Source organism: Homo sapiens, chromosome 14, assembly GCF_000001405.40.
Source record: "Homo sapiens chromosome 14, GRCh38.p14 Primary Assembly".
In the NCBI taxonomy this organism is placed as follows: domain Eukaryota; kingdom Metazoa; phylum Chordata; class Mammalia; order Primates; family Hominidae; genus Homo; species Homo sapiens.
Window position 1 is genome coordinate 38748219 of NC_000014.9, and position 18694 is coordinate 38766912.

General features: G+C 36.6%; 1 long non-coding RNA gene across 1 annotated transcript in view; it reads right to left on the reverse strand.

Annotated features, from left to right (window-relative positions):
- Window positions 1–1120: 1120 nt before the first annotated feature.
- The window catches only part of LINC00639 (long intergenic non-protein coding RNA 639), a 167544-nt gene continuing 149970 nt past the window's right edge, over window positions 1121–18694 (reverse strand). Inside the window, exon 5 of the long non-coding RNA NR_039982.1 lies at window positions 1121–1436. This is a non-coding gene — a long non-coding RNA (long intergenic non-protein coding RNA 639). The remainder of the gene's footprint in view (window positions 1437–18694) is intronic.

Consider the following 18694-nt stretch of genomic DNA (forward strand, 5'->3'; position numbering starts at 1 on the left):
GCTGAGAATGATGGTTTCCAGCTTCATCCATGTCCCTACAAAGGACACGAACTCATCCTTTTTTATGGCTGCATAGTATTCCATGGTGTATATGCACCACATTTTCCTAATCCAGTCTATCATTGATGGACATTTGGGTTGGTTTCAGGTCTTTGCTATTGTGAATAGTGCCGCAATAAACATACGTGTGCATGTGTCTGTATAGCAGCATGATTTATAATCCTTTGGGTATATACCCAGTAATGGGATGGCTGGATCAAATGGTATTTCTAGTTCTAGACCCTTGAGGAATCACCACAGTGTCTTCCACAATGGTTGAACTAGTTTACAGTCCCACCAACAGTGTAAAAGTGTTCCTATTTCTCCACATCCTCTCCAGCACCTGTTGTTTCCTGACTTTTTAATTATCGCCACTTTTATTTTTTATTTTATTTTATTTTTAAGATGGAGTCTCGCTCTGTCGCCCAGGCTGGAGTGCAGTGGCACAATCTTGGCTCACTGCAAGCTCTGCTTCCCGGGTTGACGCCATTCTCCCGCCTCAGCCTCCCGAGTAGCTGGGACTACAGGCGCCCACCACCATGCCCGGCTAATTTTTTTCGTATTTTTAGTAGAGACGGGTTTTCACCGTGTTAGCCACGATGGTCTCGATCTCCTGACCTCGTGATCCACCCGCTTCAGCCTCCCAAAGTGCTGGGATTACAGGCGTGAGCCACCACGCCTAGCCAATTCCCATTTTAAATAGAAATGATGACCTACCCTCTTCCCCACTCCAAAACAGACCTAGGTTAACGGAAAAGTCAAAATATAGAATTCCAAAAATATTGTGTCAACATTTAACTAAATGGAATTTAAAAAAAAAAAAAACCACAAAGGTTCTAACCTAAGCCATGCCTGACCTAATAAAATAATCATTAAAGCATATGGGAGTAAAATGTGATATTTTTTTCTTTGACGTTCATGCAAATCTGTACTTCTAAGAGAATTCTTAATCTTATAGAACTTTATGACTTCTTTTGGTATCAGAAATGAGCTCAGAAAGAACAAGCTTAATCAGGATGGAGAATGACGTATGTGAAAAGAAACTGGAAATAGGAGTACAAAATTGGTGAACTCAAGAGAATTGTGCCTCAGTGATTTTTAACATTTAATCCCTTCTATTTTTTAGCACAGAATAATATTCTGACAAATCAAGTGAATGCAAAGATCCAAGATCCGTTTTCTTGAATAGGATTTTTATCTCCCACATTTTCTGAATGGTTTCCATTGCTTCTCCTTGCAAAAATCTTCTTTAAAACAAAGCAATCCTCTGAGTTTAAGATGAAATCTCTCAGTATTAAATGCTAATTTATTAGATGGTTATAAAACTGCAATACCGTCAACTCCAGCAATAATGAATCCCCATGGTCTCTCATTTCACACAGAACTTGACATATAATCTGAAAAAATGAAGAAACATAATCAAATGTCATTGTTAATGACATTCAGTTATTCCACCTGTGACCTGAGCTATTATAACTATTGCCTTACAGTTGCAACTCATCCAGTAGGAAAGCCAACTTCAAACATTATCATATCTTAAAGGTCACTCAGAAAGTATGCAATTATAGCAAAATTTTGTGATAGTTATGAAAATGAATTCTTTTTTTACTTAGTTCCAGATAATATTTGTTCTTTAAAAAAATAAGTCATAGAATATGAGTTAAAGTATTGTATTTACAGTATATTTTCTATCTCTCATACATTTTTTATAAGAAATCAAGAACATATTTTCCCTGTCCTTTTTCCAACAATTTTTTCTCTTCTCTATACAGCAGCTGCCATCAGCGACTTTCATCTCCATGGGACCTGCTAGGTATTTGCAGGTACATAGTCAAGTCCTTCCCCACTTCTTGCCCCGCCTCTCACTCCTCTCTGCCCTCTGCCCTCTTGAACTTGGCATGGAAATACTCTTAGGCCTCTGGATCACTTCCAATAATAAGGAAAGAAAGAGCAGTGAATAAGAACGCAGTTCCCTGTTCTTTATTAGCCTAAACAAATTTCCTGATTTTTATTAGCCTAAATCCAAGCTTTACATATAAAAATAAGCAAAACTTGAAAATAAGCTCTACCATTTAATTATGTTTAGATACTCATAACTTCCATTTGTTGAGAGCTTTCTACATGACAAGGACTGTGTTAGGTACTTTACACACATCTAATTTATCTGCTTCTTTCTTTCTCTCGGTTTGATTTTCACATGCAGAAATGCTCACTCGAAGTTACTATCCATTGAGGAATTGATAAGAAAGAGAGAAATATTAAGATTTCCATATCCAAATAACCTTGGCAGCAATTATTGTAAAACTGTCACTGGTACTTATATATTCGGCTAAGAATTCAAAGGGGGGAAAGGGGTGGGAATAGCAGGAGCAGGAGAAGCCCAGGAGTTTCTGGGCCTGCTCTGAGTCCCAAATTACAGGACAGAACAGGAAGAACTCTCGCCATGGTGATGAGGTTGTAAAGCAAATCTAAACCACAGTGTTGGTCAAAGAAGGAAAAGGAACAGATTAGACCAGTGACAGATATTGAGTGACGAAGCCTCAGTAGGAAGTTAGAAGAAAGAGAACTCAGGGTCCTGGAGAAGTGGGAACTGCAGGAGGTACGCAGATTTGCTCTTTGTACAGAATGTCAAGGCCTGCTGCAGGTTTTTATCTGCTTCTTTGAAATAGTTTGACTGTTTTCTCCAATGAGTTGACTGAACTGAGCAATTATTTTATTACAGAGACGATGAGACAGTTACTGTTAGAATTAGATAGGAATTTTGGCACCTCATTTCCAGAAAAGCAGCACTAACTCTTTTAAAAACTTTTTTTTCATTTAAGAAAGATTAAAAGTAATTTACATCGATGAGCACAAATCTTAACATAATACTGATGAAAAATAAGTATGTATGCTTTTTTTGTACTTTCAAAGCACAGAAAAAATGCTATATGTTGTTTATAAATGCATTTATATGTAAATAAAAGTATTGACATTGACTGGAATTACTTCTTTTTTTCTCCAACATTAACTTTTTAACAATGTTTATTTAGCAAAACAATTGTTCAACTTTAGTCAACTATGTTGCTGGGGCTGATGTCCAGGGAAGGAGGTAAGTAATTGGTTAAGTTGGTTGTCAGAAATTATTTAGAAAAAGCGTCAATAGATAAACATTTTTCTCTTGAGTGTTTTCTTACACATGTGGTCCAGTATTATTTTTTTTCCAGTTTATATTCTTGCTTTACCTCCATCTATGAATCATCATAAAATTAGACTCATCAAAGATTAGAATTAGTCCAACTTTCAGGAGAAAGTGATGACTTTCATTCTATTTAACCCTTTTCCAGTGCTTTAGCAAAATCAGACAGGTAGACACTGTCCTCTTTCATGTGATTATAACTTGCAACAAGTAGTAGCAGGTAATATGGTGACATAAGCAATTTATGATACTGTTTACCTATTCCCATTATCTATAACTAAAATTTTTAGTTTAAGCTAATTAAAAGTAGCATTATTGAACTGTTGATGAGTCAAATTTTACCTGATCTATAAATTAAAATACCTATAAAGCATTTTTATGCATAGATTGCTGTAAAGAAACAAAAACAGTGTTTGATATCCTTCGTAGGCCAAGGTTCTATATAAACACACAAAGAAAGCAGTATTTCTAGACATAACTCTTTTAAAAGGAGAGCTTTTTGTTTTAATGTGTGGGGATGGGGGTAATTTTTCAGTTCCACTGGACAAATCAATCAAAACATGCAGATTGATCTGAACACGGAGTCATAGCCTGAATCCAGCATCCATTCTGTGATGCAGAGGAAGTTTCTACATTTGTTAAACTACTCTGCCACAGTGTCTCATCTTTCTCAGAGCATCTCTCAGCATCATCACCATCCATCAAAAAAAGTACGGTGACTACATAAATGAGGGTAGCCATTAGGATGAACTATTTCAGAGAGCAATGCCTTGTGGAAAGAACTGTTTGCATTATACATGGCCTTACACTCAGTTCTCTCCCCAGACCACAAAGGGAAGATGGATATTCCTGGTCAGATGAACAGTTTATGAGGTTCTGTACTATAAAGAGACATCTTCAGGGCCTCGTGCATGTACATTGTAAAACCTTGAGATATTTTATGTTACAACATACATATTTAATGTGATAATAAAAAAAGCTTATTTGTTTCAAAGTATCTTTTTATCCTTGCTTATATAACCAAACAGCTTGATGCTATTGGCTAAATTTTCAAAACTTACTATTCACAGTAGCAGTGGGAACATGCCCAACTTCCACAGATATATAAATCAGATTTGAGAAGCAAACGACACATTCTGGATAAGTAATGTGACATCCATCTGGGAGCACAGTGTTGAGGATCAAGGAAACTTTTTAAGGCCCAGTGGGTTTCTTTAGTTTCATATTGTTTCTACAGGGAGATACTATTTTTTATTTCCAAAAATGGTTAAATTACAAGCCAAAAACTATTCAGTAAATTGAACATGACAACATAAAAAAGCAAGGGACCCTTTTGACAATAGGCAGAAGTAGCACTAAACTAGTAAGGTGAATGGACAAAATGTTGAAAAATCAGATCTCCAAATAAAAATTTACTTGAATGGCACCAAATGGCATTTTACTACACTACCAATATAGGCTACTTAAAGACTTGCCAGATCATCTTCATGCTATCTGTTACTGACAGTGCAGTTATTAGTCAGCAGAAACTCCTACTGTAAATAATTTTCTAGAACTAGCCTGAGAAAGTCCTAGAGAAACGAGAGCCATTGTTGAGTCTTACGGGATCCCGAAGATTGAAATGTAAATAGTGGGTTGAATATCAAGCAGCACATTATTTCACAGCCAAAACATGACAAGGAAGTGAACTTATGCATCAGTCTTGCCTCATTTTATTCTAAAGGTAGCCCAAAATGATGTTTATAAAGAAATGTTCCAGAGTTATAATGTTGAGTGGATCACTTAAGACATAGTACATTATAAGAAAAGAATAAGAGTCTCAAGTATTGTTGTATACTATTTGGAGAAAATTGCTTAAGATACTATTAGAGTAACTGCTTAATCAAAATATTTACCCACTTTGATCTGAGGCTATTTCTTCATAATCCAAAAGATTTGAGAATTTGAATTAAGTTTGGTAATTACTAATTTAATCTACACAGCAATCAAAATTTATAACTCAAACTCCTAGGCTAATTTTTACTACATTAATCATATAAAGATAACAACAGGTCTATTCATTTTACTTTGGGAAAGACAATTTTATTCTAATATGTGTTCTTGACCTAGCCTTTTTATGTAAATAATATAAATAAATCAGATTTTTATTGACGTTCTGTGAACGCTTTCTCAGTTTTTTTTAGTTTTTATCTAATTACATCGTACAATAATATCTGTTAGCATTGATCTAGGTGAGACGTTTTAAATGAAGCTCACTTACCATTTGATAGACAAACATTCAATAGTGTCATCAAAGCTACAAGAACTTTTAAATTGAAAGAAATAAACCTTTATCCTAATTTTCCATTTGTCACAAACTTCAGGTGGTTAGTGTCTTTCATAGTCTGACATTATTGCACATTACAGGACGATGTAAATGGCTGTTTTGATTTAAAACTATTCCCTAATCTAAGCTGAGCATTACTTTATTCCATTTACTGAGGATCTCTGTTTAACTGTATTTTTTATTTACATTCTTCTCTGATAGCCAAAAGGCACCATAGGAAATAATTTCAGTCACTGTTTCTTGTATCCTTTTTTTGGTTATAGTTACTTGAGAAAAATCCCAGTGAGCAATTTCAGAAAATAAAGAAAAGAAATATTTAATTATATTGTTCTTAGGAAAAGAAATGGAAGTATACATTTTCACATATGGTGAGGTAGGGTTATGGAGGAGACACAGGGTTCCTTCATTATCCAAAGACATTTTCTCACAATGATTAGAGAGCAAGCATTTTGTCCAAGCCAAGCTAATCACAAATATTTGCCCTGAAGATCCTGGAATCAGGAGGTATTATTTCAGGTACTCTGAAAATACTGATTGAAAAAACAACAATCATTCTAAAAAACAAGGAAAGAATAATGAAAAAATATGTTTTCTACCTATTAACCTCTTTATTTTTAGAGATCAGATCTACCACACCCAGATGTGCAAAATAAATACGTGTTCAAGGCAACTGGGATGTGAAGCTGGAGACTGAGAATCATGCCCAATAAACTAAGTAGTTTGCATTTGCAGTTAGTTTTTTAAATGTGTATTTCAACACCTAAGACCTCAGAAAATATTCCATTTTATTAGATGTTTGGCTAGATAATCATTTACCTACTCCACAAATAATTATTAAGTATATTTTCAGTAGGGAGAGATAGATTAGAGTTTAGAACAGAAAAGAATATGCAAATAAATAATCATAGCAATGTGATATAATCCATATATTAACTTTATGGGAACCCAGAAGAAGTCCTTACATTTCAAGGAAATGGCTGCTTTTGAACTGCATCTTTAGACATAAGTAAAAGTTCCCTGGAAAGAAAGGGAATGGAAAAAGAGAGAATAGAAAGAAGAAGAGAGAGAACATTCCAGGCAGAGCAAACAAAATTTGTAGAGGCATAGAGAAAATAAGACAACGTGGCAGCAGTTTCCTGAAAGATGTTTGGAGTCTGCATTTACTAGAGCAAAAGGGACATGCCAGGTAGTGGCATAACCTCACTGCAACAGCAAATTTGGAGAGAAGAAAGCAGAAGGGATACTCTTATCTACTTCCTTTTTCTACTGAAATATAATGGAAACCGCTGCTGAGGGAAAACAAGTGAAATCGGGAAAGTTGGAAATGGGCCTAACATTCTTTTGAAAGAAAAGTCTTCAGGGCTACTCATTATACGGTAAAAGTTACCCAAAGCCTCTAACATGGTACACTCCCTACAGATAAGTGAGGAAAGCTCTGGTTTATGGCATTAACATGCTGCAGAGAAAGAGCAGAGCCCAAGTATGCTAAGAATGTTGGGTTCTCTCCTTCTTTGCCATTCTCTCAGATGACAGGAAAGTGGAGAGAATGAAATTCCATCCCTTTCACTATAGCTTGAAGAGGGGAAAAGAAGGAATTCCTTTCAGGATATTTTGTGAAGACACTCAAGTCATCACCCATACCATATCCAAGTACATCAGGTCTATCATACCCCAGCATAAATAGGTTACTCTGATAACCAATCAGAGTAAACAGGCTACACTCAGAGCCACCCAAACTTGAGTAAGGTAAAAAGAAATGGCATGAACATTTTACAAACATATTACAGCAAAAATAAATAAATAAATAAATAAATAAATAAATAACTGCAACAGCCAGAAAAAGAAAAATACAACTCAAAGAATAGAAAGAAAATGGTCTAATTAGTTGCTTCATAACACAGGACAACTTAATATCAACACAGAAAAAGAAAGAGCCCAAAGATCAGCTAATAAATAAAATGAGATTAAAATTTGAAACAAGAAACAGAATAGATACTGGTGAAAATCATATTATTTAACATAGAAAAAAGGCATAAGACATCACAGTGACTTCTAATAGAAAAAAAGATTAAAGATATTTGGCAAAAGACAATATAAATGGAAAACATAAATCACTTAACACAAGGATAATGTGTTACAATGGCATCTAACAAATGAAACAGAAGATTCACTCAGAGATATAATACAAGAAAATTTCCCCAAAGTAAAGAAACAACTGTGTCTTCAGATTTAAAAGAATACACTATGTTCTGGGAAGTTAAGAAACAAACCAATCAACTCTAAGACAACTCCAATTAAGTTATGAACTTCAAAAAACAAAAAAAAATCCCTTCCAGCATCAGGTAAATAAAGTGTGTGGCAGCAGAGGGTGCAATCGTCTTCATACACACACACAAACACACACATACAAAAATCAGGTTGCTGCTGTAACATTAAATCACAGAGATAAGGAAGCACTACATACAAATTCAGTAAGAAAGTATAGCCCAAAAATATAACACAAGTAATACGGTAGCTATGAGCATTTCTTAAAAAGTTTACATGATGGTGAAATCCAGTTAATTAGGAAATAAATAGATATAAAGACCTTCACAATAAAGAAACTCTAATAAAGAGACTGGTAGTGAGCTTGAATCAACTTAAATATAAAACCAATCTTAAACAATTGTGAGAATTGTAATTATATCTGTTAACAAAGATTTTTTAAATATTTCTAATCTTTAGTGTTTTGAAAGTTCTCTTTTCCCATTTTTATAGGGAATCTAAGAAATAAAATATCTGTGTTAGAAGGATATTTTACTCATTTGTTATTCCACCTTTAAATTCTAGCAAAATTAATAAAATACCCTTCATTTGAAAATATCATCAATAATAAGGCTTCATTTTTGTAAAGGCATTTCTATTTTTCTATCATTCATCTTTTCATCAATGTACATGGAACGTACTTAGAATGATGTTTACTAATGGGAATTTCTAGGAGATGTGATTTAATGCTTTTCCACTTTACAGCATTGATTTTGGTAATGCATGCTTATCATTTTTACAAAAATGAAAACTAATGCACCATGGTGTTAGCAATGGCTAATTCAGGATTTGGGGAATATAGACTTATTTATTCATTTATTTAAAAATACTAGGCTGGGTGTAGCAGCTCACACTTGTAATCCCAGCACTTTAGAAGGCTAAGGCAGGCAGATTGCGTGAGCTCAGGAGTTGAGACCAGCTTGAGCAACATAGTGAAGCCCCTTCTCTACTAAAAATATAAAAATAAAAATATGGGCGTGGTGGTATGTACCTGTAATTCCAGCTACTAGGGAGGCCGAAGTGGGAGGATCACTTGAGCCTGGTGAGGTAGAGGCTGCAGTGAGCCATGACTGCACCACTGCACTCCAGCTTGAGCAACAGAGTGAGATCCCATCTCTCTCTCTCTCTCTCTCTCTATATATATATATATATACACACACACACACACACACACACGTGTGTATATCTATATTCTCTCTATATCTATATATCTATATATAGATATAGATACTGTCAAACAGGACACCTTTAGGATAGATACAGATAGATATGTGTATATCTATCTATATAAATATAGATATATTTATCTATATAAAATTTGATTGTCTTCACAAAATATCCTGAAAGGAATTCCTTCTTTTTCCCTCTTCAAGCTATAGTGAAAGGGATGGAATTTCATTCTCTCCACTTTGCTGTCATCTGAGAGAATGGCAAAGAAGGAGAGAACCCAACATGTGTATATCTAGCTATATAAATATAGATATAGATATCTATATACATATAGTATATCTATCTATATAAATATAGATATAGATATCTATATACATACAGTATATCTAGATATCTATATAAATACAGATATGAATACACCTAAAGGTGTAGATAGATTGATCTATATCTATCACTATCATATATATATATATATATATATATATATATATATATACACACACACACACCTTTAGGATAGATAAATATCTAAATAAATAGATAGATATGTATATAGATATCTGTATATATAGATATATGTATATATATGTATATAGATATAGATATCTATATATAGTATATCTATCTATATAAATATAGATGTAAATACACCTAAAGGTATAGATAGATCTATATCTATTGCTATCATATATATATATATATATATATATATATATATGTATATATATATATATATATATATATATGTATATATATACACACACACACACCTTTAGGATAGAGATAAATATCTAAATAGATAGATAGATAGATAGATAGATAGATAGATAGATACAGCTGTCCTGTTTTGACAGTATCTGTATATACATAGATAGGTAAATAGAGATCTGTATATATAGATATGTCTATAGCTATCTATATTTCTCTCTATCTCTTATATGTATATCTCTATCTTATATGTATATCTTACTAGATATATAGAGATAGATATGTAGATACATAGATAGATAGATATCTCTAGACAGATATCTCTAGATAGATATCTCTAGATAGATATCTGTATATATATAGAGAAATTAGATACAGATTGAGAGAGAGAGAGAATTCATTATGTAGCACGGACTATCCACAGTGCTGAATATACAACAGCAAAGAAAACAAAGTCCTTTCAAGAAACTTATGAGAGAGAATAGACAAAAACACATAGAAAGTAAACATGTACCATGTCAGACAGTGATAAGATAAGCTATGAAGAAAAAAAAAGTCTAACAGCAGAGTGACCATATAATCCTAGTTTGTCAGGGCTAGTCCCAGTTTATGACTCTTGTCCCCACTTGCTGTGTGATTGGGGCTCCTTTTCACTCCTAAAGGGGTCCTGTTTTGACAGCAAATTCTGTTTACCCCTGTGGTAATGGTAATATGAACCACTCTGGGGTGGGAGTCAGAGAGGGTGGCCAGAGAAGACCTTATGATAAGGTAACATTTGAGTAGAGACTTGAAGGAAAGTTCTGAGCATCACTTTATTGGTCTGAGACCAAGCCATGGAGATACCCAAGGGAACAAACTTTCCAGGCAGACAGAGCAGCACAGGCAGAGACTTTAAAGCAGGACATATTTGGCATCTTTCCAGACCACAAAGAGGGTCCAAAGGGATGGCGGTAGGAGATGAGGTCAGAGGAGTTGGGGGGTCAGGATAGAGAGAGTGGGACAGTTGTAAAGGGCCGTATAGGCCATTGTAAGTAGTTTGGTTTTTTTCTCCAAATGAGACAAGAAGCTGTGAGAGGATTTTTAAACAGGGAATGATTTGACCTGACTTATATTTTTAAATAGTTAATCTGGCTGCTGTGTGGAGACTAGACCACAAACAAGCAAGGTAGAAAGAGAAAGCAGAAGCGGGGATATTGGAATAATTCAGGTGAAGGATGATGGAACCAGGATGGTAGTGGTGGAGATGGTAAGAATGGGAAGAAGATAATTGTTCTTTTTATTGTTATTGTTATTTTTCTTCTTTGGACTTTTCTTTTTTAAATTTAACAAAATTAACATTTTTAAAGAAAAATACTGATAACAACTCCAAGATATATTTGAGTAGAATCTAACAGAAGCTAGTGGCCATTTGAAGGAGGTGGAGGAGGGACAGTCCTTTAAAAAGGTTTTCAAGTTTTGGTTTGAGGAGCAAGAATCATGCCACCCGTAATCAAAACAAGAAACGCAGAAGACATAACAAGCTTTAAGTGTTAGTACATTGAATTCAGGTGCCCACAAAACAGAGCTAACCATGCACTATCCAGGCAGCAGTTGTACTTTTGGGTTGAAGAAAGTGATCTGTGTCTGAAATATAAAGTTCAGGAATCATTAACAACAAAGTTGTTGATGAAGTTATGTGGTAATAACTGAAGAAGAGTGTGGACTCAAAGAAAAGGGAATGACGCGACGAAAGAAGAGCAGCCTGTACGTTGGACAACAAGAGGACATAAGAGGAGATGTGGAAGAGAATGGTGTCTCAAAGACTCCAGAATAAAGATGTATTAAAACTCATGGCGAAAACTGCAACTACTTTTGCAGCAACCTAAATACTCAGGAGCACCAAACTTCACATGTACTACCACTATGTCAACTCATTTGACTCAATATAAAGGTCCATCCAGCTCTGAGAAAGACGTTTACAAGTGTTGTAAGTCCCTATTTAAAAACAGAACTTAGGTGTAGCAAGTTCCCTTCCATTATAAACTTGAAAGAGATAAAATTTGAACAAGTCTTTGATACCACCTTAGTATTTGTTTTATAATTTGTATAATGCTCTTATTGTCTTATTTTAACTGTGTCTTTAAAAAAGCCTTTCTGAACATTATTGGCTATATAATCTATAGTATAATGCCTGCTTTATAATTAAGATCTCCATTTCTATCCTATTAAGCCATCTGCAGTCTTCCTTAATATTCTTACCTTAAACACTGTCACTCTGAGCTTGATTCAGGTCAAGAAAGACTGTGGATGTTTCACCTGTCCAACTCTAAATGCAGAAACAGAAGTCTATGAAAGCTTGCTTAGTTTTTATCTACTCCACTGTAAGGGCAAGTTCACACACTGCTGCTTTTTATTTTTTATGCATAAAAAAGTTTATTCAATAAACTTTCTGCTGAAATTTTCCTTTGACTTTAGTAGGGATTTAAAACATCCTTTTTCCCAGTCAATCTGTGATTGGTAGGGCATAACAAGAGAAAAGGATGCCCTGGCAAAGAGCCTATTTTCTTATATTATAAAATATATTCATAATAAAAAATGATAAAATAGAACAGTTTGAGCTCTTCCCAGTCACTGAATGTTATTCCATCCATACATCTACAAAGCCTCAGTTCTCATCTATATACCCTAAGGAAGAAATTGACAAGGTAAATTTCTCATTTTCCTAATTTAAGGCAACTGAAGCCCTAGAGTCTCCGATAATTGATGTTCATGGACATTTAGGATTTACACTCTTCAGGAAATAGACAATTCATACATTTTAACACTCAAATCAACTTTGAGTGCCCTTCTATGCCTCTATAAGTAATAAAGATGTGACGATCAATTTTGCACATTTTCTTACTGGCATCTTACATGGGCTGTGAAAGTTTAATAGGGGTCTATTTCTGAAAATTATGCTATGTTTATTCAGCTATTCTGATACCCAAGGATTTGGAAAGGTGAATCATTCATTCTGTTGCTTAGAGAGATATTTACAAAGAAAAGGAATCTGAGTTTCCTTCCAAATCTAAAATTTTTTTTCAAAATGTGCTTTGTTGAACAGGTTATTGCTTACCAGGTGTCCCCTAAATAATGTTTTCTTTTCTTAGAGGATAATTTCTAACTAGCACATTTGCAAGTGACCAACCTTTGTATGAAGAAATTTTTTTCTGTTAGCCAACTATCTCTTTGATCAAATGCAGTTGTGTTCATTTGGCCACACAGTGTTGACTTTCCCAACTATAAAATTGCACCAAAGAATGGACTTTTGTGTCCACCTGCTTCCTTCAGCCTGAAAAAAATATATGCGTATTGCATACACAGCATTAACAGTAAAATAAAATGAATGCACTGGCTCTGAAGTATGACCTGCAGACAATCAGCATCACAAAACTTGTGAGAAATGTTCATTCTTGCCCCCGCCCTCAGACCTAGTGAATCAGAATATACAGGAGTGGGGCCCAACAATCTGAGGTTTAATAAACCCTCTAAGCGATTCTGATGCAAATTAAACACACCTAAAGCACATTTTTTAAAATGATAATGTAGGGGAAAGTGGAAGGTGAGGCATATCCAACTAATTAAGTCAAAATTTCTGGGGCTGGGGCCTGGACAATTATCTGTTTTTAAAGCTCCCAGGTAATTCTAATGAACAGCCAGATTTGAGAGCCACTGCTCTAGAGACACCATGTCTCAAGTGGTGAAAATCACTCTCCAAATTACTGGTTTTGCAATTTACTTGTTCTATTTATTGAGGTGTTTATTTTATTGCCTTATTAGCTTGAGGTGAGAGTCTAAGTATTATTTGTATCCTACCCCCTGCAGTGCTTAGCACAATCCCATGCACACGCTTTAATGAGAATATATTTCAATACTTGCTTCACAAAGAACCTTTCTACTTGGTTCTCGCATCAAACTTCTGAAATAGGCAGACCATTATTATTTTTTTAAAAAAATAGGGCTCACAGAGGGTAACTGACTGACTTTCTCACAACTAATTACAGCAGAACCTGAACGACCAACCCAGATATCTTTCCACCACAAAGGTTTCTCCTTTTCTCCTATCCCACCTCCCCACTACCACTTCAGGGCCCAAATTTATGTCTTTCAAAAGGCACCCCTAGGCTTCAACATTCTCACCAGCTTCAGAGAGTTAGAGCTATGTCCACCCTGCAGAGACATGAGGCATCGTTCATTTCAAGGTGTTGAAATGCTGCAAATAAAGAACACAATCTTTGCTAAGAAAGTTCTCAAAAGGAGGGAAGTAGGTAATAAAATGAACATGTCTCTGGGTTTATTGAGCTTTACCACCAATAAAAAGAAATCATCAAGTGGATGTGACAGTATACTTTTTTCTAAAAGAATTTGCTATGGTTTTAATCACAGCTTTCAGATGGCTCAACACTTTCTGTCATGAAAATGTGGACCCAATGAAGTTATAACCTGAGTAGCATGCAAATATATCCCCATGAGGGCCATGCACCATCTGCAAGAAAGGCCTGTAAATAATCCTTCTTTTCCTTCCAAATCCAAACGATTATACGGTACACAAGCCTTATTTACAGATGGATCACTGTACACACTCTCATTAGAGGCTTCGGAGTGTTATTTCCTTTTTCCCAGCATCTTAATGTTGAATAATCGGTCTGCATTCCTCAGAGTGTGAGTGGGCTATGTGAAATATTTTAGGTCTTGATCAGAAGTGTATTCAGGGAGCAGCCTCTGCCCTTGGACAGAACCAGCATCTGTCTCGATTATCAGTGTTCTAAAGAAGTCAATCTTGAGGCATATATTATGTTTATTTCCAGAAGTTGTACAATTCCAAAGATTTTGTAAGTTTTTTTTACTGAATTCCCATAATAAAATTTAAATCTTGATAATCCAAATAGGGAACAAAGCTAAAGAAAGAGGATTATGTAAGATCATATCTGCATCCTTGATTCAGATAAGAAGATACGTTACCATTCAGGAGGGGGAAAGTCCATGAATCTGCCAGTGAAGATGTTAACACTGCAATGTTATATTAAGTCCTCTGGTGTCAGATCACACTCCCTCCTATGACCAAGAAACGTCACACCTTCTCCCTGATGGTCATCAAATAAGAAAAAGGAAGTGAGCTGGTAAGGAAGTGAGCTGGTAAACAAGCAGAAAAGGATATGACAGTAAAAATAAAATTAAAGATTTAAAACAGAAACCATAAGAAGTTGTTAACAGGATAAACCTCATGTAAGGAGCACTGAGAAGAGAAGCCAACATTAAAATACTTATTCATAGTCAAAATTTAGAGGTTACTAATATAAGACGTAGAATTAAGAGCCTAAATTCTAATTGTGGATCCACTAATTTGTGTGATCTCTGATAGTTTATTTCACCTTTCTATGCCTCAGTATCTTCACCTGTGAAGTGGGGAATGGTTCTTATGAAAGACACTTGGCACATAGCACGCAGTAATATTTGCTATTATTATTCCTTGAGGTCTTCCTTAGACTCTTCTTTTTCTGTAAAACCTACAGGATAGAAATTGAAGGTGGTTCTTTTGGCTCACCCTAGCTTTAACTTTGTGCTCCTGGCCATGGTAATGAAAGCTTCCTCTTCAGTAACTCACACCTCTGGCCTCCTTACTTTTCATGACCATCTTCAAACATCTTCAGCTCTTTTCCTCCCTTATGCTTAATATATAAGTTGCAAAGACTTTCAAGTCTAACTTATTTTAGTTGTACAGGAACTCTATCCTGCAGATTATGCAAGAAAATGAATGAGTTTTGCTAACATAGGGTATAAAAATCATATGTAACTTTCAAATCTACAGTAAATCAAGGGCTACTACATCTGGAAAGACTGCCAGCAGGGATGAGCTGACATCACTTGCATTTATTTTGTAGAAGAAATACCCAGGTCAAAATAACTAATATTTAAGTTGGACCCAAGAACTACTGAGGTTCAGGACAAGATTTAAATAGCTGGGCTACATGATGTATGTATACCCCAAGACAAGCATCCTCCAAATTCCACTGTGTTATTTATATCCAATATTTTTCCTCTTCTGTAATGTTAATCTACTCAGTAAATATCTAAAAATAAAGCTTAAGAGAGGTTCCAAGATGGCCAAATAGGAACAGCTCCAGTCTACAGTTCCCAACATGAGTGATGCAGAAGACGGGTGATTTCTGCATTTCCAACTGAGGTACCAGGTTCATCTCGCTGTGGCTTGTTGGACAGTGGGTGCAGCCCACGGAGTGTGAGCCAAAGCAGAGAGGGGCATCACCTCACCCAGGAAGCGCAGGGAATTCCCTTTCCTAGCCAAGGTAAGCCATGACAGATGGTACCTGGAAAATTGGGATACTCCCACCCTAATACTGCACTTTTAAAAAGGTCTTAGCAAATGGCACACCAGGAGATTATATCCCATGCCTGGCTCGGAGGGTCCCATGCCCATGGAGCCTCACTCACTGCTAGCACAAAAGTCTGAGATTGAACTGCAAGGTGGCAGTGAGGCTGGAGGAGGGGCGCCCGCCATTGCTGAGGCTTGTGTAGGTAAACAAAGCCACCAGGAAGCTTGAACTGGGTGGAGCCCACCACAGCTCAAGGAGGCCTGCCTGCCTCTGTAGACTCCACCTCTGGGTACAGGGCATAGCTGAACAAAAGGTAGCAGAAACTTCTGCAGACTTAAACGTCCCTGTCTGACAGCTTTGAAGAAGTAATGGTTCTCCTAGCACAGAGTTTGAGATCTGAGAACGGACAGACTGCCTCCTCAAGTGGGTCCCAGATCCCCGAGTAGCCTAACTGGGAGACACCTCCCAGTAGGGGCCGACTGACACCTCATACAGCCTGGTGCCCCTCTGAGACGAAGCTTCCACAGGAAGGATCAGGCAGCAACATTTGCCGTTCTGCAATATTTGCTGTTCTGCAACCTCCACTGGTGATACCCAGGCAAAAAGGGTCTGGAGTGGACCGCCAGCAAACTCCAACTGATTTGCAGCTGATGGTCCTGACTGCTAGAAGGAAAACTAACAAACAGAAAGGACATCCACACCAAAACCCCATCTATACGTCACCATCATCAAAGACCAAAGGTAGATAAAACCACAAAGTTAGGGAGAAACCAGAGCAGAAAAGCTGAAAATTGTAAAAATCAGAGCACCTCTTCTCCTCCAAAGGAATGCAGCTCTTCGCCAGCAATGGAACAAAGCTAGACAGAGAACGATTTTGACAAGGTAAGAGAAGAAGGCTTCAGACAATCGGTAGTAATAAACTTCTCCGAGCTAAAGGAAGATGTTTGAACCCATCGCAAAGAAGCTAAAAACCTTGAAAAAAGTTGGATGAATGGCTAACTAGAATAAATAGCACAGAGAAGACCTTAAATGACCTGATGGAGCTGAAAACCATGGCACGAGAACTACGTGACACATGCACAAGCTTCAGTAACCAAGTCGATCAACTGGAAGAAAGGGTATCAGTGAGTGAAGATCAAACTAATGAAATGAAGCGAGAAGAGAAGTTTAGAGAAAAAAGAGTAAAAAGAAATGAAAAAACACTCCAAGAAATATGGGACTATGTGAAAAGACCAAATCGACATCTGATTGGTGTACCTGAAAGTGAAGGGGAGAGTGGAACCAAGTTGGAAAACACTCTGCAGGATATCATCCAGGAGAACTTCCCCAACCTAGCAAGGCAGGCCAACATTCAAATTCAGGAAATACAGAGAATACCACAAAGATACTCCTAAAGAAGAGCAACTCCAAGACACGTAATTGTCAGATTCACCAAAGTTGAAATGAAGGAAAAAATGTTAAGGGCCGCCAGAGAGAAAGGTCGGGTTACTCACAAAGGGAAGCCCATCAGACTAACAGTGGAGTTCTCGGCAGAAACTATACAAGCCAGAAGAGAGTGGGGGCCAATATTCAACATTCTTTTTTTTTCCTTTTTTTTTTTTTTTTGAGATGGAGTCTCACTCTATCACCCAGGCTGGAGTGCAGTGGCATGATCTCGGCTCACTGCAAGCTCCGCCCCCCAGGTTCACACCATTCTCCTGCCTCAGCCTTCCGAGTAGCTGGGACTACAGGCGCCCACCACCACGCCCAGATAATTTTTTGTATTTTTAGTAGAGACGGGGTTTCACTGTGTTAGCCAGGATGATCTCAGGCCCCTGACCTCGTGATCTGCCTGCCTCGGCCTCCCAAAGTGCTGGGATTACAGGTGTGAGCCACCACGCCCGGCCTCAACATTCTTAAAGAAAGAAATTTTCAACCCAGAATTTCATATCCAGCCAAACTAAGCTTCATAAGTGAACGAGAAATAAAATCCTTTACAGACAAGCAAATGCTGAGAGATTTTGTCACCACCAGGCCTGCCCTAAAAGAGCTCCTGAAGGAAGCACTAAACATAGAAAGGAACAAACAGTACCAGCCACTACAAAAACATGCCAAACTGTAAAGACCATCGATGCTAGGAAGAAACTGCATCAACTAACGAGCAAAATAAACAGCTAACATCATAATGACAGGATTAAATTCACACATAACAATATTAACCTTAAATGTAAATGAGCTAAATGCTCCAATTAAAAGATACAGACTGGCAAATTGGATAAAGAGTCAAGACCCATCAGTGTGCTGTATTCAGGAGACCCATCTTACAAGCAGAGACACACATAGGCTCAAAATAAAGGGATGGAGGAAGATCTACCAAGCAAATGGAAAAAAAAAAAAAAAGGCAGGGGTTGCAATCCTAGACGCTGATAAAACAGATTAAGCCAACAAAGATCAAAAGACAAATAAGGCCGTTACATAATGGTAAAGGGATCAATTCAACAAGAAGAGCTAACTATCCTAAATATATATGCACCCAATACAGGAGCACACAGATTCGTAAAGCAAGTTCTTAGAGACCTACAAAGAGACTTAGACTCCCACACAATAATAATGGGAGACTTTAACACCCCACTGTCAACA